The 25,002-nt window shown below is 47.1% G+C and overlaps 1 protein-coding gene across 18 annotated transcripts in view, besides 1 other annotated feature; it reads right to left on the bottom strand.

Annotated features, from left to right (window-relative positions):
- The window catches only part of TMEM181 (transmembrane protein 181), a 98,790-nt gene that overhangs the window by 42,696 nt on the left and 31,092 nt on the right, over window positions 1-25,002 (bottom strand). For 8 of the 18 annotated variants that reach the window (NR_164859.1, NM_020823.2, XM_047419182.1 and 5 more), the window contains exons 2-6: window positions 19,211-19,314; window positions 11,739-11,794; window positions 8,690-8,780; window positions 7,309-7,430; window positions 2,952-3,062 (exon numbers count right to left, since the gene is read on the bottom strand). Coding sequence is in view for 17 of the 18 variants with exons in the window: in NM_020823.2 (NP_065874.2) it covers window positions 2,952-3,062; window positions 7,309-7,430; window positions 8,690-8,780; window positions 11,739-11,794; window positions 19,211-19,314 (484 nt within the window). In the remaining variant the exon portion in view is untranslated. Of the gene's footprint in view, window positions 1-2,951; window positions 3,087-7,308; window positions 7,431-8,689; window positions 8,781-11,738; window positions 11,795-19,210; window positions 19,315-19,985; window positions 20,227-20,265; window positions 20,521-25,002 lie in introns of those variants that run through there. The other 10 variants (NM_001376817.1, XM_011536000.2, XM_011536003.3 and 7 more) reach the window with 6 other exon arrangements.
- Window positions 13,434-13,646: a silencer, noted in NCBI's record as "fragment chr6:159000120-159000332 (GRCh37/hg19 assembly coordinates)". NCBI's record gives its function as "represses an EF-1alpha promoter that drives an FKBP-Casp9 reporter gene in an ReSE screen in K562 erythroleukemia cells {active_cell/tissue: K562}" and the evidence as "EXISTENCE:reporter gene assay evidence [ECO:0000049][PMID:32094911]".

Here is a 25,002-nt window from a genome sequence, read left to right as displayed (position 1 = left end):
TAGGCCGATTACCTGAGTTCAGGAGTTTGAAACTAGCCTGGCCAACGTGGTAAAACCCCATCTCTACTAAATATATGAAAATTAGCAGGGCGTGGTGAACTACTACAGCTATTAGTAGCTGTAATCCCAGCTACTAGGGAGGCTAAGGCAGGAGAATTGCCTGAACCCGGGAGGCAGATGTTACAGTAAGCCGTGATCGCGCCACTGCACTCCAGCCTGGGCAACACAGTGAGACTCCGTTTCAGAAAAAAAAAAAAGATGGGGTCTCATTATGTTGTCCAGGCTGGTCTCGAACTCCTGGGCTCAAGCAATCCTACTACATTCACTTTCCAAAGTGCTGGGATTACAGGCATAAGCTACTGCCCCCGGCCCAATCTATGAAAATTGATTGGTTGAAAAAAGACATTCATTCTTGAACTCTCTAATCTTTGGTTTAAAGCAAGGATGAACATAATTTCAGAAGTCTGTTGCCACGTGAATTTCTAAATTTGTAAGGTGCTGTACTGCTGTTCTTTCATTCAACCAATACATATCTATTGCAAGCCTAGCAGCTGCTGGGCCCTATGCTGGCTGCTGGGGAAACGAAATGTACAAAAAACGCAGAAAAATCTTTGGTGACATCCCTTACAAATCCCAAGGGTCTCAAGGGCTGTCTTTCCAGATGCTGAAGAGTGCCACCAGAAATGAGGCTCTGGCTGTGGTGTAATTCAAGGTGAGTGGTTCCCATGGTAACGTCTTTTGAACCAATTCCTTTTTGAGCCCCACAGTAACACTGTATCACTTGCCTTCCATCAGCAATGGCAGAATGGCATGTACCTAGTTCACCTAACATATGTACCAAATTCTTCAGGAACAACTTTAAGAGGAAACATAGATACAAAAGATGGAAGGACAAAAACCATAAAGACAAAACAGCGGCCCACACCCATAGAACAGGGTCAGGATGAACTACAGCTTCTGGAGAAAGGTGCTGAGAACCATAAAAGGCTTGTAGGAGATGATGTTCTAATAAAGAAGATGATGAAAGGGAGAGGTCCCTTGTTTGTCTGCACTGTTGAATCAGAATGATTCTGAAATAGCAAAGTCTAAAGCACAGATGATTAACAAAGGACTACATCAAAGTATGCCTAAGCTCAGTGCACCTGCCTCAGACCCCATCTGGAATCCCCCACTGCACCATGAATGGAGGACACAAGCAGAATACTAATCGGATTCTCTGAAGACTAAGATCCAGGAGATCATTCAGACAGCAAAGACCAGACCCCAGATTCAGATCCAAAAGATCTGGAAAGGCTGGCTGAGGCAAAGGGCTGAAAGGAAGAGACCACTAGTGACGTGGCTCCCGAGAGAGCCGGCTCAGCTGTCCCAGCAGCACAGCCCAGGGCCACCTGCTCCTTCCACATCAGCAACACCTGCCCCTGCAGCTGGGTGACTGGGGCAGCTTCAGGAAGGAAACATGGAGCCAGAGGGGTGCAGAGGTCACATCCCCAGCACAACGTGAAAGAAAAGAACAATCTCAGAGGGGAGGAGACGGCCGCCTGCAAAGGGCTATAGGGTAGACAGAGAAAAAAACTCATTTTGTGTAGTTCACAACAGCCAAAAAAATGGAAACAACCCAAACGCCTGTCACCTGATGAAGGGATTAACAAAATGTGGTCTAGCAATACAACAAAATATCACTTAGCAAAATGAAGGAGTGAAGTACTGATCCCGCGACAACCTGGATGGACCTTGAGACATCACGCTAAGTGAAAGCAGACAGTCACCGAAGACCACACGTTGTGTGACTCCATTCACACGAAATGTCCAGACCAGGCAAATCCACGGGGACAGAGAGAACGTTAGTGATTGCCAAGGACTGTGGGGGAGGGAATGGGAAATGATCACTAACAGGTTTCTTTAAGGGGCAATGAAAATGTTCTGGAACAGAATGACTGGACAGCTCCACGACTGTGCTAAAAACCACTGAATGGGCCGGGCGCGGTGGCTCACGCCTGCAATCCCAGCACTTTGGGAGGCCAAGGTGGGCGGATCACCAGGTCAGGAGATCAAGACCATCCTGGCCAACATGGTGAAACTCTGTCTCTACTAAAAATACAAAAATTAGCTGGGCATGGTGGCACACACTTGTAATCCCAGCTACTTGGGAGGCTGAGGCAGGAGAATTGCTTGAACCCGGGAGGCGGAGGTTGCAGTGAGCCGAGATCGTGCCACTGCACTCCACACTCCAGCCTGGTGACAGAGTGAGTCTCTGTCTCAAAAACAAAAACAAAACAAAACAAAAAAAAACCACTGAACGTACGCTTTCATTAAAAGGGCAAGCAAACTTTCTACTTTGATAAAGCTGTTTTTTTTTTGAAGGTATCCATTAGTATCTTCATTTAATATTCACAGCTCTATGAGGCAGCTATTTTACAGATAAGAAAACTGAGGCTCAACAAAATCACGTGAGTCAATGATGGAGGCAGCGTGAGAACCCAGCTCACCGTCCAGTCTAAACCCCCACTCCTCATCACTATGCTGGTTATACTGACTCCTAATGAGTGGAAAGGGGAGATTTCAGCTGGACACAAGAAAGGACAGTCTAACAATTAGAACAGTGCCCTCCCACTCACCGGCAGTTCGGGCAGAGACTGACGACCACTCACAGGGGCCAGAGAAGGGGGTGCTGTGTCTGCTAACCCCTTCACTGCCTTGCAGCTGAACACACTATATACTCTCTATTCTAAATCTCAGACACCTAAGGTTTGCCCAATCTCTATGATATTTAAGCTATTCTTAGTTCTATATACTTAAGAAACTGTAGTTTTCCTATAATTTTTAAAAACTTTACAAGTCCTCCACTGTCCAAATTAACATTATTTAGATGCTGAGATGTATTTCAATCATTGAACAAAGAATGGGAACTAGAACATGAGCCATGGAAACGTGCAGTCAGCTGGTATACTTACTGTGAAGTTCATTCCCTTGATGGGGAGCTTCAGGTGTTCAAATCCCACTATCACTGTATACTGAGTGTAGTTCAGGTAGCCAAGGTGAGCCACAATAATCTCCGCACATTTCTGCAAATACACAGAAAGATTTGCCTTTAAAGAAAGCGAGACTCACGCTCCCGCCAAATAACCCATGAAGTAACACGTTTCAACAGCAGATGGGCAGAACTCATTGTCTCCAGGGAACTCGCCAAAAGCCCAGAGAAAGTCAGATGCCAGCCAAACACAGTTCCTAGAAAGAATGAACCAAATGGGTATTTTTGGAAACATAATATATGATTTACACCAATTAGAATCTTTCTACTTTGGATGACTGAAAATAAGTCACCGTGTAAGAAAGTTAACAGTGCAACGCAAGCCTGACATTTCCATAAATATATAACACTAGAGCACAGGGGAAACGTAAGCTAAGACACGTCAATGCAGATGCCGCGGCCTAATTTGTCCTCCCTGGCCCAATTTTGCGATTGTTATAATAATGAACAGAGTGAATTACACATTCTTCTTTCTCTCCTTTTAACCTGTCACTCTCTACATGGAGCCCTCTTTCCTCTCCATCCTGCTCTCTCCACCCTCCACTCCGAGTCAAAGCAAAGGCTGTGTGCACAGCACCAAGTGCAGATGTGAGGATACGTGTGCTCCACTGTTGACAAGAGCCCTTCCTTTTGTCCTTTAGAATTAAAAGCCAGGTCTCTTCTGCTTTGTTATCCCCTTCCGGAGTGGCAGGGAGGACAAACCCTCATGCAGGGATACAGAGGTGCACCCACCAGCCATGCACACAGAGCCAGCCACTCCTCCCCAGCAAGCTCTGCCCCGGCCCTGCCTTTCGGAATGTCACTCTCCACCATCCTGCTGCTGCCCAGAGCAAACGGGTGGTTCTCTGGCTTTCTAATAGGGCATCGCTCCAATGACTGGTCAAGCCTCGAATGTCTGAGGTCAGGTAAGAAAACAGGTGTGGGTTTTACACAGCAGGCTTAAAAAAGACAAGAAGGTGGCTGGGCGTGGTGGCTCACGCCTGTAATCCCAGCACTTTGGGAGGCCAAGGCAGGCGGATCACTTGAGGCTAGTTCAAGACCAGCTTGGCCAACATAGTGAAACCCCATCTCCACTAAAAGTACCAAAAATCAGCCGGGTGTGGTGGCAGGCGCCTGTAATCCCAGCTACTCAGGAGGCTGAGGCAGGAGAATCCCTTGAACCTGGGAGGTGGAGGTTGCAGTGGGCCAAGATCACGCCATTGCACTCCAGCCTGGGCAACAAGAGCAAAGCTCCGTCTCAAAAACAAACAAACAAAAACAAACAAAAAGACAAGAGGGCAACTGTCAGGGAGGCGGACAAGGAGTGGGGTTAACACAGTGGGGTGCTGACCTAAGGCAAGGGGGAGAAAGCAGAGAGGAGGGGAGTGTGCAGGGGGCTGAAGGCAGCACCAAGGTCACCATCTCAACTCACCAAACACTTCAGCCCACTAGCAGCCCTGGGTCTGCACTGAAGCCCACAGTGCTCCGCAGGGAGGGGCTGCCCTGCAAAGGGGCTAAAAGCCCTCTGGCTGGCCACCCGCCCACCTCCCATTCTCCTATGCCGGAAGCACAGGTCATCTGCTATTTTCATCACATTGGAAAGGGAAGCCAAGGCTTCCTTTCCACCTGATCAGCTCTCATTGCAATCTGCTGCCTGCCCTCTGGGCTTTAAGTGTGTGGTCCACCTTCTCGACAAAACTAAATTCACCTTTCCCCTCTGGCAGTCGGGTCACAGGATGATGCGCAAAGGCAGGGGTGGCTAAGGACTATACAGGAAGGGATGGCTTAAAATCTGTAAATACATTTTTGCTGGGTAGACAAACATCTCTTGCGAGTTTAAGAATTTGTCTCACTTTTCAGGGATGTTTTAATTAACAAAAGAGCTGTATCTCAGGCTGCATATACTTACGAGTTTAAAAAAACTACACCAGCGGTTCCGGCATCCCAAGTTCAAACCACGGTTCTGCTGCTGACAATGATGTACCTCTGAAAATCACGTGATGGTACCTCAGCTTTCCCACCTGCAAGGCGTGGAAAGCCTTGCTACCTAAGTCAGACAATGGCTTTTCTTTACAGTAGAAAAAAAAAAAAAAAGGAAGCCAGGCACGGTGGTGCACACCTGTCATCCTAGCTACTTGGGAGGCTGAAGCAGGAGGATTGCTTGAGCCCAGGAGTTCAAAGCCAGCCTGGGCAACATAGCAAGACTGTGTGTTTAAAAAAAAAAAAAGTAATATAAGAGGGTGGTAAATATCTCTGTAATGTAAAAATTCCATGTTTTTTAAAGCCAGGGCAATGCTCCTTGCAGGGTTAGAGACCTGCGTAGACAAGGAACAGAAGCAAGATATTCCCAAGGGGTAACACAGTGTAAAATGAGGTAGGGCCAACAACGGAAGCGGGAAGAAACCATGAAGATGCGCTGAAGGGCCATTCTCAAGATGCACAGCACGGCGGGCACATCCAAGAAGGAACAGTGCAGACCAGCCAGTACCCTGGCAGCCTGGCCCTGCTTGAAGCAAAGGCTTTAGGTAGGGCAACCCACTTGTCCCGATTTTAAAACAAAGTCCTGTGTGCTGAGCAACCACTCAGTGCAAGCAAACCAGGACGATGGGTCTCAACAGCTCCAAATAAGCAACCCCTGACTAATGGTCCATTGAGCCTCAATCTGAGAGGTGGGTGTCATCAAGCTGTCCAGGTGGGAGTGGCCACCAGGCGCTCGGATAGGAAGAGAGCAGATTCTTGGGCCATGGTCCTGTCTGACACTCACACCTGTTATCCCTTCAGCAGTACTGATCGCACCCCTCCCGCACACAGGCCTCACTGGGGGACGCAGGGATGCCTCAGGCTGCACACATAAGGCACACTCACACGTTATTCACCTTGATCTTTACTGCTTTCCTAAGGCAGGCAGGGAAGGCTTGATCCCAACTTTATAGATGGGGAAAATACACTTTGGAAGCTGACTCATCCCCTGGAAGCAGAATGAGAGGCCAGTCCCACGTGATCCTCCCACCCTACCCTCCCAAAGTGCTGGGATTACAGGCATGAGCCACTGCGCCTAGCCCTTGAATTCTTTCTTGCTAGGAAAAACAGTGCCAGTATATGTATCACTAGTAACTAGGCAGTATCCATGGTGGTTAAGGCCACAAGCTTCAGAATAAAAGGGCACAGGTTTAAATCCTGGGCCCTCCACTTAATATCTGCGTTACCTTGGGCAATGGTTTAGACCTCTCTAAGCCTCAGTTTCTTCTTCTACAAAATAGGCTCTAACAGTAGTTTCTACTTCATGGACTTGCCATGAGGACTGAATGAGACAATGAGTGGACGGTACTTGGCATGACACCCAGCAGAGAAACTACTTGCCATCTGGCTTCTGACATTACTTTCCTAATCCTATAAGAAAATGCACTGCCCTGTTTTGATGCTCTCCAAGTTCTCCACGCTGCCAGTAACCTGTTGTGCCTGAGGTGGACTCCTCGCTCTAGCAGGGATCTGGTTCTGATTCTTTGGACTCTGAACAGAATACAGTGCCAATGAAATCAAGCGTGAGGGCTCATTCCCCACTGTGGACCCAGGTTTCCTATCCCTTAGCCACACTGTGCTCTGAAGTAGATGCTCAAAAAGGTAGGCCCCTGACGCCCAAGAGGCCCAGGTACTTGGCTTCACACAGACGGATTAGGGCATGCATCACTCGGCTGGGAACAACCCAAAGCCTCAGTCAAGAGTGACCATGGAAAATTAGTCAGCCCTGGTAGCATACGCTTGCAGTCCCAGTTACTTGGGAAGTTAAGGCAGGAGAATTGCTTGAGCCCAGGAGTTTGAGGCTGCAGTGAGCTGTGATTGTGCCACTGCACTCCAGCCTGGTTGACAGAGCAAAAACCTGTCTCTAAACAAAATAAAACAAAAAAACCCAGTGACCACAGCCTGTGGCAGACGTTCGTATGAGGAGGCAGCCCATAACATTCATTAGGGACACACTGGGCAGAAGGTCACACACACAGTAAAAACAAGTACCGTGTATGCTCAGGGTGGCTAGCAGTATATGTGTGTGCATGCATATGTGCGTACACGTGTGTTTACGGATGTGTGAATGCATGTGTACGTTTATAAGAATTTTTAAGGGTATCCAACTGTAAAAATAAGTAAGTTTTTTCATGCCATCTTTGGTATGACTCCATTTTTTTCACTTAAGAACAATTTCTCGAAGCCTCTTACCATGCTATCTTTTAGACTGGAAAGTGGCTCTGTAATTAAACGTGTACACAGCCTGAGGACTGACTGTGGGGCTCACCCCACACACTCACCCCTGCACATGTGAGGGTCCTTGTCCGGTTGTGAACTTTGTTATGAATGTACATCGTGGTTCCATCTTGAGCTACACCATCGACTTTAACAGTCATGGGAAAGCTTGTCTTAATAGAAGTTTCTACAAAAGAAAAAAATTCAGTGTTAGAGACCATGCCAGGCACATCACACCTACAAAGGTGCCTTCCTGGCTCTGTAATGACCTTGGAGCCAGGAAAACGCTTAAGGTCCTTAGGCCACATTGGCCTCAGCACATTTGAAAATCTCTTAATTGCCCAGCAAAGTAAAAGCCTTTCCATTAGATTCCAACCCAGCACCCAGGGGGTCTATGTCAAAACCTGCACTTCAGACCCATCAGTTTCACTTCACACACAAAAAAAGGGTAAATATTTCATGGCTAATGAACTTATATTTTTAATTTCTCACATACATTTTTAACTTACCAAATTCTATACCAAAAATAGAAATAGATTTCTTATTTCTTCTGATTATAGGTTTTTCTCATTATATTCTCATTTTAAAAAAATCATAAAATATAAAGATAGCATTAAATACTGAGAATTTCACCTAGAGATAATCGTAATTCATATTTCATGTCTATCCTTCCAGACCATTTTCTAGACAAATACGTAGTAATATGAATTTTTTGCTTTCTAAAATGTTACAAAGAGGGGATAATTTTTTCGTAATATATATTTGTTTCACTTCATTTACTGTGGTCATGGGGTTATCTTTTCAAATTCTTTCTCAACCAGAGTGTCTCATGTGAGGCACAGAACAGAAAAGGATTTGGTTATCTTCTCAATTCTCCCTAGGATGATACAAAACTAGTGCCACTGTAGACTGACAGAAGCTAATTCATCATAAACAATGGATGCATTAGGGGAGGGTTTCTCAGCCTCTGCATCACTGACATTTTGGGCCAGATAATTCCTTGTTGTGAAAGTGGGGGAGGTGTCGGCACCTCTGCCCTCTACCCACTAGATGCCTGGAGCACTCCCTCCTCCTCTCCGTGTGTGACGAAATTGTCTCAAGACATTGGCAAGTGTCCCTGGGGGCCAGAACCATTATTTTAGGGCATCAGGTCTTAATTCTCTCCCAGATCCTCACTGAAAAAGGCTGGCAGCTGTAGCGCCGACACCATGCAGCCACTGAGCGGAGCTAACCAGGACTCCACGGAGGACGTCTATCTATCGCAACTTTCTCTCCCACTGGAAGACATTTAAGGGGTTTCCAATTTGTTGCTATGATAAATAATAATGGACATCCTTATACATCTATCTTTGAGCACTTGCTTGTCTGAATATTCTGAAGTCAACATCTAAAATACGATGTTTCTTCGTATAATGAAAAATCATTCCAAAATGTCAAGCTCCATACCTTTTGATTGATCCAACTCAACAACACATGTCAGCCATAGTTGCTGATTGTATGTAGACAGTGGATTTGAAAGTATTTGAATTGGCTTTAGCTGAAGAAAAAAAAACAAAGTAATCCATGTGACCTTTTCATTGAGTCTACCAAATACCTCATCGTTTTAACACACAAAGTTTACTTTTAGCAATAAAGGCTTCAGTGTTAGCTTTGAAACAGAAATATGTGAGGTTTTCCTTCTTTTTTTTATTTTGATGGAGTCTCACTCTGTCGCCTAGGCTAGAGTGCAGTGGCGCGATCTCGGCTCACTACAAGCTCTGCCTCCTGGGTTCACGCCATTCTCCTGCCTCAGCCTCCCGAGTAGCTGGGACTACAGGCGCCCGCCACCACGTCCAGCTAATTTTTTGTATTTCTAGTACAGACGGAGTTTCACCGTGTTAGCCAGGATGGTCTCGATCTCCTGACCTGGTGATCCGCCCACCTCGGCCTCCTAAAGCGCTAGGTTACAGGCATTAGCCACTGCGCCCGGCCATGAGGTTTTCCTTTCAAGAACATAAGTGACATTTTGCCTTTCAGAAGAAGAAACGACTAACTTCCAGCAGCAATTCACGTCTGTCTCTCACAGAAATCTCTAAGCAGACATTTTTCACACTGGGACCCTTGGGGACAATACACTTACTTAAATATCAAGAAAAAAACCATCTTGGAAAAAGAATAAAATGAGCAGAATGATGAGATACATACTAAGACAATAAAGAATACCAAAGGAATGCTTTCATATTTACAAGATAATATATCTCAAGAATTATTATTTTTTGAGACGGGAGTCTAGCTCTGTCACCCAGGCTGGAGAGCAGGGGCGTGATCTCGGCTCACTGCAACCTCTGCCTCCCAGGTTCAAGTGATTCTCCTGCCTCAGCCTCCCAAATAGCTGGGATTACAGGCACCTGCCACCACACCCAGCTAATTTTTCTATTTCTAGTAGAGATGGAGTTTCACCGTGTTGGCCAGACTGGTCTTGAAGTCCTGATCTCATGATCAGCCCACCTCGGCCTCCCAAAGTGCTGGGATTACAAGCATGAGCCACTGCGCCCGGCCAAGAATTATTTCTGAAGTATCCATATGCCAGGCAAATTGCTCTTTGACGTCTGCTATTTTTAGCCTTCTGAAAGAAAATCTTAACACCCCTGGGGAGAAAAATTAGAGGTGATGATGTTGCCAGTGATTCTTCTGCAGTATCTTTTGAAAGACGTAATACTGGTGTTTAATAGCAGCAGGCCACAGAGAGAGTTACTGAAGCAGCCCACCCATGGTTCCAAAGAAAAGCATTATCTGAATGCATCGTCTTTGGAGGTGAATGGGTTTTTTCTTTTTTTTTCTTTTTTAAGACAGGGTCGTGCTCTGTCACCCAGGGCTGGAGTGTAGTGGTGCAATCATGGCTTACCGCAGCATCAACCTCTCAGGATCAAGAGATCCTCCCACCTCAGCCTCCCAAGTAGCTGGGACTACAGGTATGCCCCACCACACCCAGCTTATTTTTAAATTTGTTGTAGAGACACAGTCTCCCTATGCTGCCCAGGCTAGTCTCAAGTGAATGTGTTTTTGTGTCTTAATACTTCTGTCAGGGTCTCAATAAAACTCCCTAGGACTAAAGATTTGCCTAAAAACCATCAAGGCAGGAAATCTCTCCAGGAATGAGCTACTGTCTTAGTGAAGTGAGGATGGTCTCTTGGAAGCAAGTCAGTTCAGTGGAATGGCTGCTGTGTTCAGTGTCAAAGAGAGACTCACACCCTGAGAGACAGAAACTGTAAAAGATGAACTACTATCAGGAAAGCCCACGGCGGCACCTCCTCAAATCAGATCATCACGCCAACAGTGAAAGAAAATAAAGCAATGCAAAGGAAATGTGAAAACAGGCTATGCAGAGGGCCCTTTCAAACTAGCAGTAGCAAAGAGAAAAATCAAATGGTGTAAGTTTTAGTACTTTTTCTTCTTTTGACTTTTTGCAAAATTATAAGGGTAGAAAACTAGCAGGGAAGTGTGAGAACAGAGAGAAGGGGGATTTGGGGTCATACAATCAGATTTAAACTATATATATCATGGTGCCTCGAAGATACAGGGCAACTGTGTTCAGTTTATAGGTAAAGTTATGTTTCACACACAAAAAAAGGTTTAGTTGTCTGGGCTCTCACAGGTTAGTATTTATTCAAGGAAACCAAAATTCTCCAATTGAAAGAAGCTCTGTTTTTCTCTAAAGGTGGTAAAAAAGTTAAGGCTTTTTTTTTTTTTTTTTTTTTGAGACAGAGTCTCACTCTGTCACCCAGGCTGGATGCATTGGCACGATCTTGGCTGACGGCAAGCTCCCCCGCCCGGGTTCACACCATTCTCCTGCTTCAGCCTCCCGAGTAGCTGGGACTACAGGCGCCCCCCCACCACGCCCAGCTAATTTTTTTGTATTTTCAGTAGAGATGGGGTTTCACCATGTTAGCCAGGATGGTCTCAATCTCTTGACCTCGTGATCAGCTCACCTCAGCTTCCCAAAGTGCTGGGATTACAGGCATGAGCCACCTCACCTGGCCAAGTTAAGGTGTATTTTTTAAAGGATTTTTCATTTAAATTGAGTTCACACAAGGAATACAAAGTAATCATTAGAAAGAAATGTACCATTAGAAATCTGACAGAGGCCAATTCTTAACCTGGGCAAATATAAGATGAGACACCTAAGTGGTATCATTATTAAAAATTACAATCTGATAGGACTTACAGAGGCAAGGAATCAGGATGAGTTAGCCACTCTTTGGAAATGAACAACTGCTCCCTAAGAGGTAACACCACCATCTTCCTAAGTACTGAGGTGTTTATTACAGCAGAAATGGTGACTTTAGCAAACAAGAACCCAGATGCCAGCAGCTGACAATGGAAGAAGAAATGTGTTGCCTGAGAAGCCGCAAGGCAAGGGAAGGCTACCTTAAAGACTCTAAGCGGAACCATTTCTCAGTGACCTGAGGTTTATAATGCACCCCACCACCCAGCTGCCACTCAGACCCAGTCTTACCTTTTTGCTATTATTTAGTGAAAAATTAGCCGCAGAAGTCTGGATCACTTTAGGTCCTAAAGTGTAACAGAAAAGGACAAAAGCAGATTATAGCAATATTGATAATTTAGTATTTTTTTCCAAATTCCAAGAAAGACTCACACATTACACGGAGATGACCTTAATTCACCTGGTTTTTCTTTAGAGATTATACAATGTGTAAGTAGAAGATATAAACACACAAACACAGACACAGAATATCCACTCTGCTGTGCTTCACGACTTCCCAACACAAGTCAACCAGCATGACTGGCATACAACACAGAGGGTTTCCACAGGAAACACCCTGCTAGGCTCTCAATGAGAGCACTCTCTACATGCATGGGCCCAAGAAGGCATTAACTATAGAGACTCTGTCTTATATATTCTGTAAAATATAAAGATTTCTTCCAAAACCTAAGACACACTTATCTGCTCATCCAATTAATCCCGTCTTCCAAAAATACTTATTAAGGGCTATAAACATAATATATGCTAATATAAGCAGGAAAGCATAAAGTTTTAACTAATAGGTATACGAACCTCATAGTTTTTTTTCCAATTTTTACTGTGACAAAATATACATAAGATTTGCCATCTTAACCATTTTTTTTCCTACAGATCCAAGAACTTGACATCTTAACTATTTTTTTTCTTTTTGTTCTTGTTGCCCAGGCTGGAGTGCAATAGCGCAGTCTCAGCTCACCACCACCTCCACCTCCCAGGTTCAAGCACTTCTCCTGCCTCAGCCTCCCGAGTAACTGGGATTACAGGCATGCGCCACCACGCCCGGCTAATTTTTTATTTTTAGTAGAGACAGGGTTTCACCATGTTGGTCAGGCTGGTCTCGAACTCCTGACCTCAGGAGATCCGCCCACCTCAGCCTCCCAAAGTGCCGGGATTACAGGCGTGAGCCACTGCGCCATGCCCGTCTTAACCATTTTTAAGCATACAGTTCAGTGGTAGTAAATACGTTCATACTGTGCAACCATCACTGCCATCCATCTCCACAATTCAAAACTGAAACACTGTGCCTATCAAACAATTCCCCATTCCCTTCCCCCAGCCCCTGGCTGCCACCACTCTACTTTCTGTCTTGATGATTTTAACTACTCTAAGTACCCCATATAAGTGAATCTTATAGTATTTATCTTTTTTCCAATGGCTTATTTTACTTAGTATAATGTCCTCAAAATTCATCCATATTATAGCTTCTGTATGAATTTCCTTATTTTTGTTTTTTGTTTGTTTGTTTTTTGAGACAGCGTTTCACTCTTGTTGCCCAGGCTGGACTGCAATGGCAGGATCTCGGCTCACTGCAACCTCTGCCTCCCAGGTTCAAGCGATTCTCCTGCCTCAGCCTCCCAAGTAGCTGGGATTACAGGTGCTTACCACCATGCTCGGCTAATTTTTGCATTTTAGTAGAGATGGGGTTTCATCATGTTGGCCAGGCTGGTCTTGAACTCCTGACCTTGTGATCCACACACCTCTCCCTCCCAAAGTGCTGGGATTACAGGCGTGAGCCACTGCGCCCGGCCGAACTTCCTTACTTTTTAAGGCTAAATATTCCATTGTATGTGTACACCACATTTCATTCCTCTGTCCATTTATCTGTCAATGGATACTGTGGTTGATTCCACAGTTTGTTATTGTGAATAATGCTGCTATGAACATGGGTGTACAAATATCAAGACCCTGCTTTTTTTTTTTTTAATTTTGAGACGGAGTTTCATTGTTGTTGCCCAGGCTGGAGTACAATAGCGTGATCTCGGCTCACTGCAACCTCCGCCTCCTGGGTTCAAGTGTTTCTCCTGCCTCAGCCTCCCAAGTAGCTGGGATTACAGGCATGCACCACCACACCTCGCTAATTTTTGTATTTTTAGTAGAGACGGGGTTTCACCATGTTGGTTAGGCTGGAATCGAACTTCTAACCTCAGGTGATTCACCCGCCTCAGCCTCCCAAAGTGCTGGGATTACAGGCATGAGCCACCATGCCCGGCCAAGACCCTGCTTTCAAATCTCTTGAGTATATACACGGAAGTGAAATTGCTGGATCATGTGGTGCTATTTGCATGGCATAACCTTTTCCATCCTTCTACTTCAACCTATTTGTGTCTTTGGATCTAGAGTGAGTCTCCTGTAGACAGTATATAGTTGGAGTATGGTGTTTTAAAATCCATTCTGCCAACCTCTGCTTTTTAATTGGAGAGTTTATTTACATTTATAGTAATTACTGCTCAGGAGAAACTTGCTTCTGTCATTTTGCTTTCTATATGCCTTCGTTCTCTGTATGTCTCATAGCCTTTTTGTACCTCTTTTAATATCCTAAAGTTATAACACTCTAAATTTATACCAGCTTAACATCAATATGTAAAAATTCTGCACCTATAACAGCTCCATCCCCGCCTCTTTCAACTGCTGTCACAATTGTGACAAAAGCCTATCTTTATATATTGTGTCCAAAAACATAAAATAAGTTTTAATGCATTAGTCTCTTAAACTATGTAGAAAACAAAATGTGGAGTTACAAACCAAAGTTATAATAATACTAGATTTTACAGTAATAGTTGGCTTTTTAAAAATGTGTCTTTCAAATAACGTTGAAAACAAAAAAAATGGAGTTATACACCATTGTTACAATAATATGAGCTTTTATAATTACCCAAGTATTTACCTTTACTGAAATCATATGGCTTCAAGTTACTGTCTAGTGTCCTTTCATTTCAACCTGCAGGACTCACTTCAGCAATACTTGCAGGGCAGGTCTAATAGTAATAACTTCCTCAAATTTTATCTGGGAATGTCTTAACTTCTCCCTCAGTTTTGCTACACGTAGGATTCTTGACTGACAGTTTTGTTTTGTTCTTTGTTTTTTTGTCTTTTTTTTGAGATGGAGTTTCGCTCTTGTTGCCCAGGCTGGAGTGCAATGGCGCGATCTCAGCTCACCACAACCTCCACCTCCCGGGTTCAAGAGATTCTCCTGCCTCAGCCTCCCAAGTAGCTAGGATTACAGGCATGTGCCACCACGCCTGGCTAATTTTGTATTTTTAGTAGAAATGGGGTTTCTCCACCTTGGTCAGGCTGGTCTTGAACTCCCGACCTCAGGTGATCCACCCGCCTCAGCCTCCCAAAGTACTGGGATTACAGGGGTGAGCCACTGCACCCGGCCAACAGTTTTCTTTTAGAACTTTGAATGTATCAGCCCACTGACTTCTGGTCTCCAAAGTTTCTGATGAGGTATCTGCTGACAAACTTACTGAGGATCCCTTGTATGTGATGAGTCACTCTCTTACTGCTTTCAAGATTCTGTCTTTGGCTTTCTACAGTTTGATTATATCTTGGTGTGGGTCTCTTTCAGTTCATCCTACTTTGAGTTTGTTGAGCTTCTTGGATGTTTATATTCACATTCACCAAATATGGGAAGTTTTCAGTCATCACCGCTTGAAATATTCTCTGACCCATTCTCTATCTCTTCTCCTTCTCAGACTCCCAGAGTGTGTATGTTGGTCCATTTGATAGTGTCCCAAAGGTCCCTCAGTCTCTGTTCATTTTTCTTCTGTTTTTCTGTTCCTCAGGCTCAAAAATTTCCACTGTCCTATCTTCAGATTCACTGATTCTTTCCTCTACCTGTTCAAATCTGCCTTTGAATCACTCTAGCGTACTTTTCATCTCCAGAATTTCTTTTTGGTTTCCTTTTAGGTTTTCTATCTTTTTATTCATACATTGTTTTCTTGACTGTCTCCATGTCTCTTCCTTTAGTTGCCTCAGCACCTTTAAGACAGCTGTTTTAAAGTCTCTGCCTAACAGATCTGTCATATGGTCTTACTCAGAGACAGATTCTGACACTTCATTTTTTTCCCTTCGATGGGTCATACTTCATTGTTTGCCTTGTGACTTTTTTTTTTTTTTTTTTTTTGAGATGGAGTCTTGCTCTATTGCCCAGGCTGGAGTGCAGTGGCGCAATCTCGGCTCACTGCAAGCTCTACCTCCCGGGTTCACACCATTCTCCTGCCTCAGCCTCCCAAGTAGCTGGGGCTACAGGTGCCCACCACCATGCCTGGCTAATTTTTTGTATTTTTAGCAGAGATGGGGTTTCACCATGTTAGCCAGGATGGTCTCGATCTCCTGACGTCGTGATCCACCCACCTCGGCCTCCCAAAGTGCTGGGATTACAGGCATGAGCCACCACGCCCGGCCGCCTTGTGACCTTTTGTTTAAAAGTGGACACTTAAATCTAATAATGTACCTCTGGAAACCAGACTCTCCCCTTCCTCAGAGTTTGCTGTTATTCATTTTTGAATTTTTGTTTTTGTTGTTGTTATAGACTGTCTCTGTGCAAAGGATCAGCCTGAGGTTTAAACTTAAGGTTTTCTCTGAGCCTGTGCCTTCCTCTGGGCAGGTGTGGTGACTTTCTAAATTTCCCTGTATTAGCAGTTTTGAATGTCCTGGTCTTCTATGTCTGACTCCCGAGAAAGGAAAAAGGCAAAAACGAAGGGGTAAAAAAGTGCCAGCCCTTTAAATCCCCTGGAAGTAACGTTAGCCAGCGGGGGAGGGGCTTGCAACAATTGAGGGAGGTACAACAACAGCAGCCATTCTTACTTCGTCAAACTTCTGCAATCAGAAGCAGCATCAGTGATCAGAGCACAGATGCCTACTATCTGGAGGACAGGGTCCTTTTTGCCCACCTTGGTTTCTATAAGCGCTAGGAACACACATTTAGCCGCCTGCTATAGGCCTGCAGTGGAAGATGGGTACCTGCTACTGTGCTAAGAGCTGTGCTGACCAAAATTAGCCACCATCTAATGTACAAGCATTCCCTTCGAAGTGGCAAGCCTTCAACAGACTCTGGAGTTCCAGAACAGTTACACCATACAGATTCTGCCACTGCAGCTGTTGGCTAAGTAGAAGACATCGATTCCTACTCCACCATCTTCCCAGAATCCTCTCCAAGCTTCACAGATTCTTACAATGCATTTCTTTAGAGTTTGGCCTTAAAAGAAGTAGTCAAAGGAAACACCGTGAATCTGATTTTAATTTAATTTAGAACTAGATTTGTTCCAAAACGTATCACTATCAACTGGTGATATCAGTTTTTCTGGGCTGCCTCAGTGACCATGCCCAGAAGGATTGTCTGCCAACAATCCTCCACTCAAAAGGAGGAAATACAAGGCAGTAACATTTCTCTGGAATGCATTTAGGAATGCTGGGAAGCATATATCAAATGTAGGAAAGAGGCCTGTGTCCACAATGAGGTCCCTTTTAAACAGATTCACAATCTGAGTGAACACCTAACCCAGGAAGTAAGGCAGTCTAGTTTCCTGGAAAGAATTAAGAACTGGGAATCAGAAAAATCTAGACTTGGCTGGCTGCGGTGACTCACACCTGTAATCCCAGCACTTTGGGAGGTCGAGGCAGGCGGATCATCTGAGGTCAGGAGTTCGAGACCAGCCTGGCCAACATGGTGAAACCCTGTCTCTACTAAAAATACCAACAAAAATTAGCCAGGCGTGGAGGCAGGTGCCTCTAATCCCAGCTACTGGAGAATCATTTGAACTGGGGAGGAAGAGGTTGCAGTGAGCCAAGATTGCACCACTGCACTCTAGCCTGGGCAAAAAAAAAAGAAGAATCTGGACTCCAGTCTTCACTAACAAGGCTTTCTGGGTCTTGATTTCCTCATTTGCAAAATGACAGTTACTAAGCCAATAGTCCCTAAGGTACTCCTAACTCTAAAATAGTAATAACCTTATCACATAAAATAATCAGGAGCAGAGTACTTGTGATAATTTTATGTGTCAACATGACTGGGCCACAGGGTGCTGAGACATTTGGTTAAACATTATTCTATTGTGTCTGTGGGTCGTTTCTGGATGAGATTAACATGTGAATCGGTAGACTGAGTCAAGCAGATTGCTCTCTCCAATGTGGGTGGACCTCATCCAATCCATTGAATAAAACAAATTGGCTGAGTAAGGGGGAATTTGCTCTGTGTCCAGCTGGGACACTGGTCTCCTGCTTTCAGACTCGGACCTGGACTCAGCTGGAAATTTACTCCATCAGCTCTCCTAGTTCTCATGCCTTTGGGCTTGGACTGGAACTACACCATGGGCTCTCCTGGCCTCTTACTTGCTGACTGCAGACCTTTGGACTTCTCAGCTTCCATAATCATGTACCAATTCCTTATAATAGACAGACAGGCAGGACAGACAGACAGACAGGATAGACAGGCAGGCAGGCAGGCAGATAGGTAGATATTTCGTATTGATTCTGTTTCTCTGGACAACTCTGACTAATAGAGTACTGTATGGAAAGAAAGAAGGGGATGTAGAAATCCTGAACATCACTTGTATCTCAGCCTTGGTGCACACTTTACATTTCTCATTTCTGCAAGAATGGAGAGGGTTTGATATAATCATGGACGTTTGAGACAGAAGAGTGGCTTAAAATAACAGAAGGTGGCTGAGGTCCCACTGAGACTGGAGACCATGAGAATATTAATGCCTCCCCTACCAATCTTAAAGGATAGCAGTGAAAATCAAGTAAGATCATGGATATATCTTGTGCTGTAATTAATGTAATTTTTATTTCTTGATGACTTAACGGGAAAGAAAAGAAGTTGGCTACAGCTGCTATTATCACCATCACCATCAGATAAACAGCACTCTCCCCCAGCTTCCTCGTCCATTTACCAACCCAGTTTTGGGTAAGAAACTAACCTTTTGAGGCACAAATTGCCTCTGGGACAGGTTAAGCCTAACTGCCATTCACACTTTAGTATTAAGTCAATCAATTAAATAATATCTACCAGAAATCACCCTTATGGAAAAAGATATTTTATTTAAGAGGGAAACAAAGCAATGGAGGAACAGATTCTCTCCAAACAAGTCAGGCTCCTGGTTGCCTGCCCTCTGCACGGGGCTGAAGACACCTGGGTCTCTGGGAACCTTGTGAAAACCACTTGGCTTCTCAGGTTCTCCATCCATGAGAAAGGGGATTGGCCTAGATGATCCCACTGCTCCTACAGCCACCCCGCCCCATGCTCACAGCCATCAGCCCCCCACTCTCCTCCCCTCCCCATCAGCTGCATCAGAGCTCTTCCATGGCCTGTCTCCCCAACCAGGCAGCATGTTCTGGACACACCAGCGCCCAGCTGGGTCTCGTGCACAGCAGATTAGAAACGTTTGCTTGGCCAATGAAGGCATGTGGTCAAGGCTGCCCCTGGCTGCTGCACAGGGCATGGCCAGGGTCACTCGGGGCTACTTACTGCACACCTCCCCCACAAGAGACAGAGCAGCTAGAAGCGCAGGGCTGGGACCCCATCCACCCTGTGGACACTTCTCCCTCCACGCTGGGGCCCTTAGCAGTGGAAGATAGGGGCACAGCTGGGCTGACCGAAAGCAATACGCCAGGGCCACCGCGCATGGCAAAAGATTCAATGAGTAAAAACCGAACCTTACCTCTGATCCCAACGAAGATGGTCAGGCCAAAGCAGATGAAGAAGACGACAAACACGAGGACAAAGTGGCGCTTGGAGAGCGTGTAGAGCCGCATGGGCGCCAGCCTGGGGGCAGAAGCCAGCAGTGAGGGACGGTCAGGGGAAGGCCCGGAGGTCACAGGAAAGCGGCCCTGCAGCAACACCCCTCCCCACACGACACTGCCCACCTCCCCTCCCAGTCCCTCACTTCTGAAGTGGGCCTGCACTGCCACCAGGTAACCTCCTGACAAAACAGCCTCAGCAGCCAATTCAGGAGCTGCGCGTTCCTGCACGTTCCGGGTTAGAGGGTCCGTGGACACACCAGCCACCGCGGTCTGCACGCAGCACACCAACCCCACACTCGAGGAGAATGCACTAGGGGGGCTCCTAGGCCCCCCAGGGGTCACTGCCACAGAGGCAGTGGCCAGATCCCACTACTCATCTCATGCACACACATACATACACACACGCACACACACTGGCACACCCACAAGCACACGGCCTATGGGGGTGACACTGCCAGGCCCCACTCGAAGCTCCAGGTACTGCCAGCACCACACTCCTCCCTCTGCCATTCCCACAAGCCCACAACCTCACAACCTCACAACCCACAAGCCCACAAGCCCACTCCTCCCTCTGCCATTCCCACAAGCCCACATCCCAAGTCCTCCACAACTTCAGGTTCCCCTTGTGCCACCCAACACGGACGCTGCCTTGCCGTGCAGGTTTCTGTGATTTACACAGACAGGGAAACTCACTCGCCCTCCCAGGTGTCTGCCCAGTCACAGGAAAACTCTAGGAGGCAGGGATCATTTCTTTTAGAACATCCTGTATCAAGGGCCAGCAAACAAAAGAAAACTCTGTAAAGGCCCAGGTAGTACATGTGAGGCTTTGGGAACACCGGTCTCTGTCGCAAGGCACAGCTCTACTTCTCTGAGCAGCACAGGACGCACGAGCATGGCTGTGTCCCAGTCAAACCATCGACAAAAGGGGTGTGGCCGGCCCCCGCCCTGTGCCCTGAGGAGGAGACCCACAGACCAGAGGGACGTGCGGCGCTGTCTGTTTTGCTCTCTCTTCTGTGTTCTCTGTTGTCCTCGCATGTTCTGGTCTTGGGAGCCAGACCAGCGGGAAGGAGACCGAGCACCTCACCTCAGGGACAGGCAGCCGCACGTCCACCCAGGGAGATGGACATAGTATGCTCAGCCTGGCCCTGCAGGAAGGTTACTGGCTTCACGGTCCAAAGCTCACACGGGCCTGCGTGCCCACATCCCCGCAGCACACGCCTGAGAGACTGCAGTTGCAGAGCAGGAAGTCACTGCCAGGCCCGTCCCAGGGCCAGGGTGAGGCCGTGAGTCAACACCTCTGCGACGTAGCTCTGATAAGGCCAGGCCCGCTGCCCCCAGCAGGGCCTGCATGGCCACCTGGGCAGTGAGCACACAGACCAGGGTCACTGGGTGAAGAAATAAAGAATAGGTGGCTCCACAGCTGCCCCGGGACTCAGTGCAAACACTCACCCACAAACATGAGACAAGAGAGCTGGGGAAGGAGGTGGCCTGGCCCCAACTCAGCTCTGGGGCCTGACAGATCCTCAGAGGCCCAGGAGCCATAGGAATGACCTCAGGGAGCAAACTCAACACCTTCAATTCACAGGTGGGGAAAGTGAGGTCTGGAGAGAGTGCATGTGCCCAAGATGCTGCAGCCCTGCCCTCTGCACCTGCACTGCACAGAGGTTGCTCTGGGACGGCGCTGCAGGCTCCAACCTACACCAACTCCTCTGGGCAAGCCCTGCAAAGTGTGAAGGCTGGCCCAGGAAGAAGTGTCTCCTCTGACCTTCCGCAGTTAACCCAGGTGTCAAGTCTATTCCTTAGTTTAAGCATGGTGTGTTTAATACGTTATTAACACTGCAGATGGCCGGGCGCGGTGGCTCATGCCTATAATCCCAGCACTTTGGGAGGCCAAGGCGGGCGGATCACGAGGTCAGGAGATTGAGACCATCCTGGCCAACACGATGAAACCCCGTCTCTACTAAAAATACAAAAATTAGCAGCCAGGCGTGGTGGCTCAGGCCTGTAATCTCAGCACTTTGGGAGGCCAAGGCGGGCAGATCACAAGGCCAAGGCGGGCAGATCACGCCTATAATCCCAGCACTTTGGGAGGCCAAGGTGGGCGGATCACAAGGTCAGGAGATCGAGACCATCCTGCTAACACGGTGAAACCCCGTCTTTACTAAAAAACACAAAAAATTAGCCGGGCGCGGTGGCGGGTGCCTGCAGTCCCAGCTACTTGGGAGGCTGAGGCGGGAGAATGGCACGAACCCGGGAGGCGGAGCTTGCAGTGAGCCAAGATGGCACCACTGCACTTCAGCCTGGGCAACAGAACGAGACTCCATCTCAAAAAAATTAATTAATTAATTAATTTTTTAAAAAATTAGCTGGGTGTGGTGGCACATGCCTGTAATCTCAGCTGTTCAGGAGGCTGAAGCAGGAGAATCGCTTGAACCAGGGAGTTGGAGGTTGCAGTGAGCCGAGATCACACCACTGCACTCCAGCCAGGTGACAGAGCGAGACTCCATCTCAAAAAAAAAAACCAACCTAACAAACAAACAAAATACTGCAGAATGGAAGATTCCTACAGCTGCTCAGGGCCTTTTCAGTTAAAAAAAAAATGACACAAAGCTAAATGGACTAGATGGTGGGGAAATGCAAATAAAGCCTTTAGTTCAGTTAACAGTACTGCACCAAGGTCAACGTCTTCATTTTGATAAATGCGCCAGGTTATGTGAAGTGCCCCCCTGAGGGGAAGCCACAGGGCTTGCCCAGAGGAGTTGGTGTAGGTTGGAGCCTGCAGCGCTGTCTCAGAGCTACCTCTGCAGAGTGTGGGTGCAGAGGGCAGGGCTGCAGCATCTTGGGCACGTATACTGACTCCAGACCTGTTTCCCCACCTGTGAATTGAAGAAGAGTGTACGGGGCCGGGCGCAGTGGCTCATGCCTGTAATCCCAGCACTTTGGGAGGCCAAGGCGGGCGGATCACGAGGTCAGGAGATCGAGACCATCCTGGCTGACACGGTGAAACCCTGTCTCTACTGAAACTACAAAAAAAAAAAAAAATTAGCCAGGCTTTGTGGCGGGCACCTGTAGTCCCAGCTACTCGGGAGGCCGAGGCAGGAGAACGGTGTGAACCCGGGAGGCAGAGCTTGCATTGAGCTGAGATTGCACCACTGCACCCCAGCCTGGGCGACAGAGCAAGACTCCATCTCAAAAAAAAAAAAAAAAAGTGTACGGAAACACTCTGCTATCTCTGGCCCTCTGCTGTAAAGCTCAAGTAGCTTTTAAACAATGACACTGCTATTTCTGAGTTCCTCCACTACAACGTTCTCGGAGGTCCCGTCCCCCGGGGCAGCCACAGTCCCAAGACTATGGAGCTCCGAGAACTACCCAAGCAGAGGCTAAAAGCACAAGAGAAATTACTTGGAAGCAGAGAAAACCAGAATAACTATATTTTAAATCTTGATTTCAAAAACACATTATTGACCCCCTACTAGCACAGTTATTTAGCAAATGAGAAGGAACGTTGCAAAAAGAGGCCTTAAGAAAGGGCATGAGAGGCTGGGTGCGGTGGCTCACGCCTGCAATCCCAGAAAGGGCATGGGAGGCCGAGGCAGGCAGATCACCTGAGGTCAGGAATTCGGGACCAGCCTTGGCCAACATGGTGAAACCCCATCTCTACAAAAATACAAAACTTAGCCAGGTGTGATGGCACATGCCTATAATCCCAGCTACTTGGGAGGCTGAAGCAGGAGAATCGCTTGAACCCGGGAGGTGGAGGTTGCAGTGAGCCTAGACCATGCCACTGTACTCCAGCCTGGGCGACAGAGCAAGACCCTGTCTCAATTTAAAAAAAAAAAAAAAAGAGAAAGGGCATGAGGGCACAACCCGCCCCAGGCACCTGCCAGTCTCTCTCAGAAGGCTCAATAAAATCCATTGTCTCCCCTTCCCGAAAACTTCTACTTAAGTCCAACTTATTAGAAATTTTCCTGGTTTAACAATCAAGTCATCCAACTCAAAGGAAAAAAGACAGAGAAAACAACATAATCTGTCTTCTTAAGCAAGTGTAAGCTGGGTATAACCGCCTGTGCTGCAACAGGCTCGTGGGTGAGAGGGTGGGCGCCAGGCCCTGGCTTCCGCTGTCTTCATTTTCCTGACAAGCAGGCATCCTCACTGGAGGGCCTAGGGTCCTGGGACCCTCTGCAGCCTGCAGGGCTATCATGGGCCAAGGCAGCACCCAGGACAGGATAATTCTGCGTGATGATCAATGCCTTCCCCTCTGCGACTCTTTCCGCTCTCGACTTCCAATCTAAAAGTTCTGAAACAGCCCAGCATGGCTCATGCCTGTAGTCCCAGCAGCTCTGGAGGCTGAGGGGGGAGGATCGTTTGAGCTCAGAAATTTGAAGCTACAGTGAGCTAAGACTGCACCACTGCACTCAGCCTGGGTAACAGGGCGAGACCCTGTCACTAAAAAATTAAAATAAAAAAGATTTGAGCCAAAAAACCACAGACTTCAGAAACCTCAGAAACAAGACCCCGTTTCAGATCAATCATAGCTCTAAAACTGTTGCTCATGGGCAAAACAACAAAACATTGAGAAGCCAAGGTAAAGATGGGAGAGGGGAGGTGTCTTTGCCAGAACTAACCTAGCCCCCTGCTGTGAGACCAGCTCAGTGACCACAGCGGCTGGAGTCCCCAGTCGCTTCAGAACACGGCTCCTGTTCTGCAACAGAAACCCACTGGCAGCTCTGCCTCCTGCTGAAAATGCTCACAGGTCTCTAACACCATGCCAACCTAGACCAGTGACCGAGTAAGTCTCAGTGACCAAGAGAGCCCATGGCCCTCTCTGATCAGTCCCCCAAGGGAGGATATTTCTAAACACATAGAGGCAAGTCTGTGATGCAGAAAATATGCACAGCCTACGAACAGGAGAGGGTCCCTGGGGGTCCCTGACCCCAGGCCTTCCCTCTCCTCATCTCTGTCGTCCCCGTGTGCTTCCTGAAACCTCTAGTCCTAGACTCCTGCCACCCCTCGCACCAGTCCTCCAACACCAGCTCATCTCCTGCTGCTTCTCTCTCCGTCCTTCCTGCCTTCAGGAGCCATCCTCCCTGCCCACCCTACCCCACTCTGAAGCAGCGCTGCCCAACACGTTTTCACCTAGAAGCCCTACAGTACTTCAAGGTCAAAAGGTTTCAAACTGAGCTAAAAAACAAAATAACATTACTGAAAAGCCCGCTTCCACTGCCCACTTCCTGCCTCCACCCTTTCTCCATTCTCGTACCCTGAAACCTGGCACCATCTCAGATGCCCTTCTCTCGCTCCTTCCACACTTTCAGCCAGCCAGGAAGAGCTGAGTCCTTGCTCCCCAGTTCCTCTTCATCCCCAGCACGCCAGTCCCACTGTTCAGGCCCCAAAAACTCCTGCCAGCTGCTGCCATCACCTCCAAACGCACCTTCCTTTGTGCCATTACAGCACTTTAACAGCCTCGCCCTGCTCAGGAAGCGTACAGTGCCCCGCAGCCAACTCCATCAAGTTTAGACAGGCCTTTCAAAGTCCCCGAGATCCTTCCCCACAATCCCTCTCCAGCCTTCCTGCCACCCTGCACATATCCTATGTGAATTATACGCACTCCCTCCGTCATCACAGCCCTGAGATAGGTACTACTGCAACCCCTTTCAGATGAGAAAGCTCAGACTCAGGAAGGTTCCATTACTTGCCCTAGATCACAAGG

Source organism: Homo sapiens, chromosome 6 (genome assembly GCF_000001405.40).
Source record: "Homo sapiens chromosome 6, GRCh38.p14 Primary Assembly".
Taxonomy (NCBI): Eukaryota; Metazoa; Chordata; class Mammalia; order Primates; family Hominidae; genus Homo; species Homo sapiens.
This window is presented reverse-complemented; position numbering and strand designations above follow the sequence as displayed.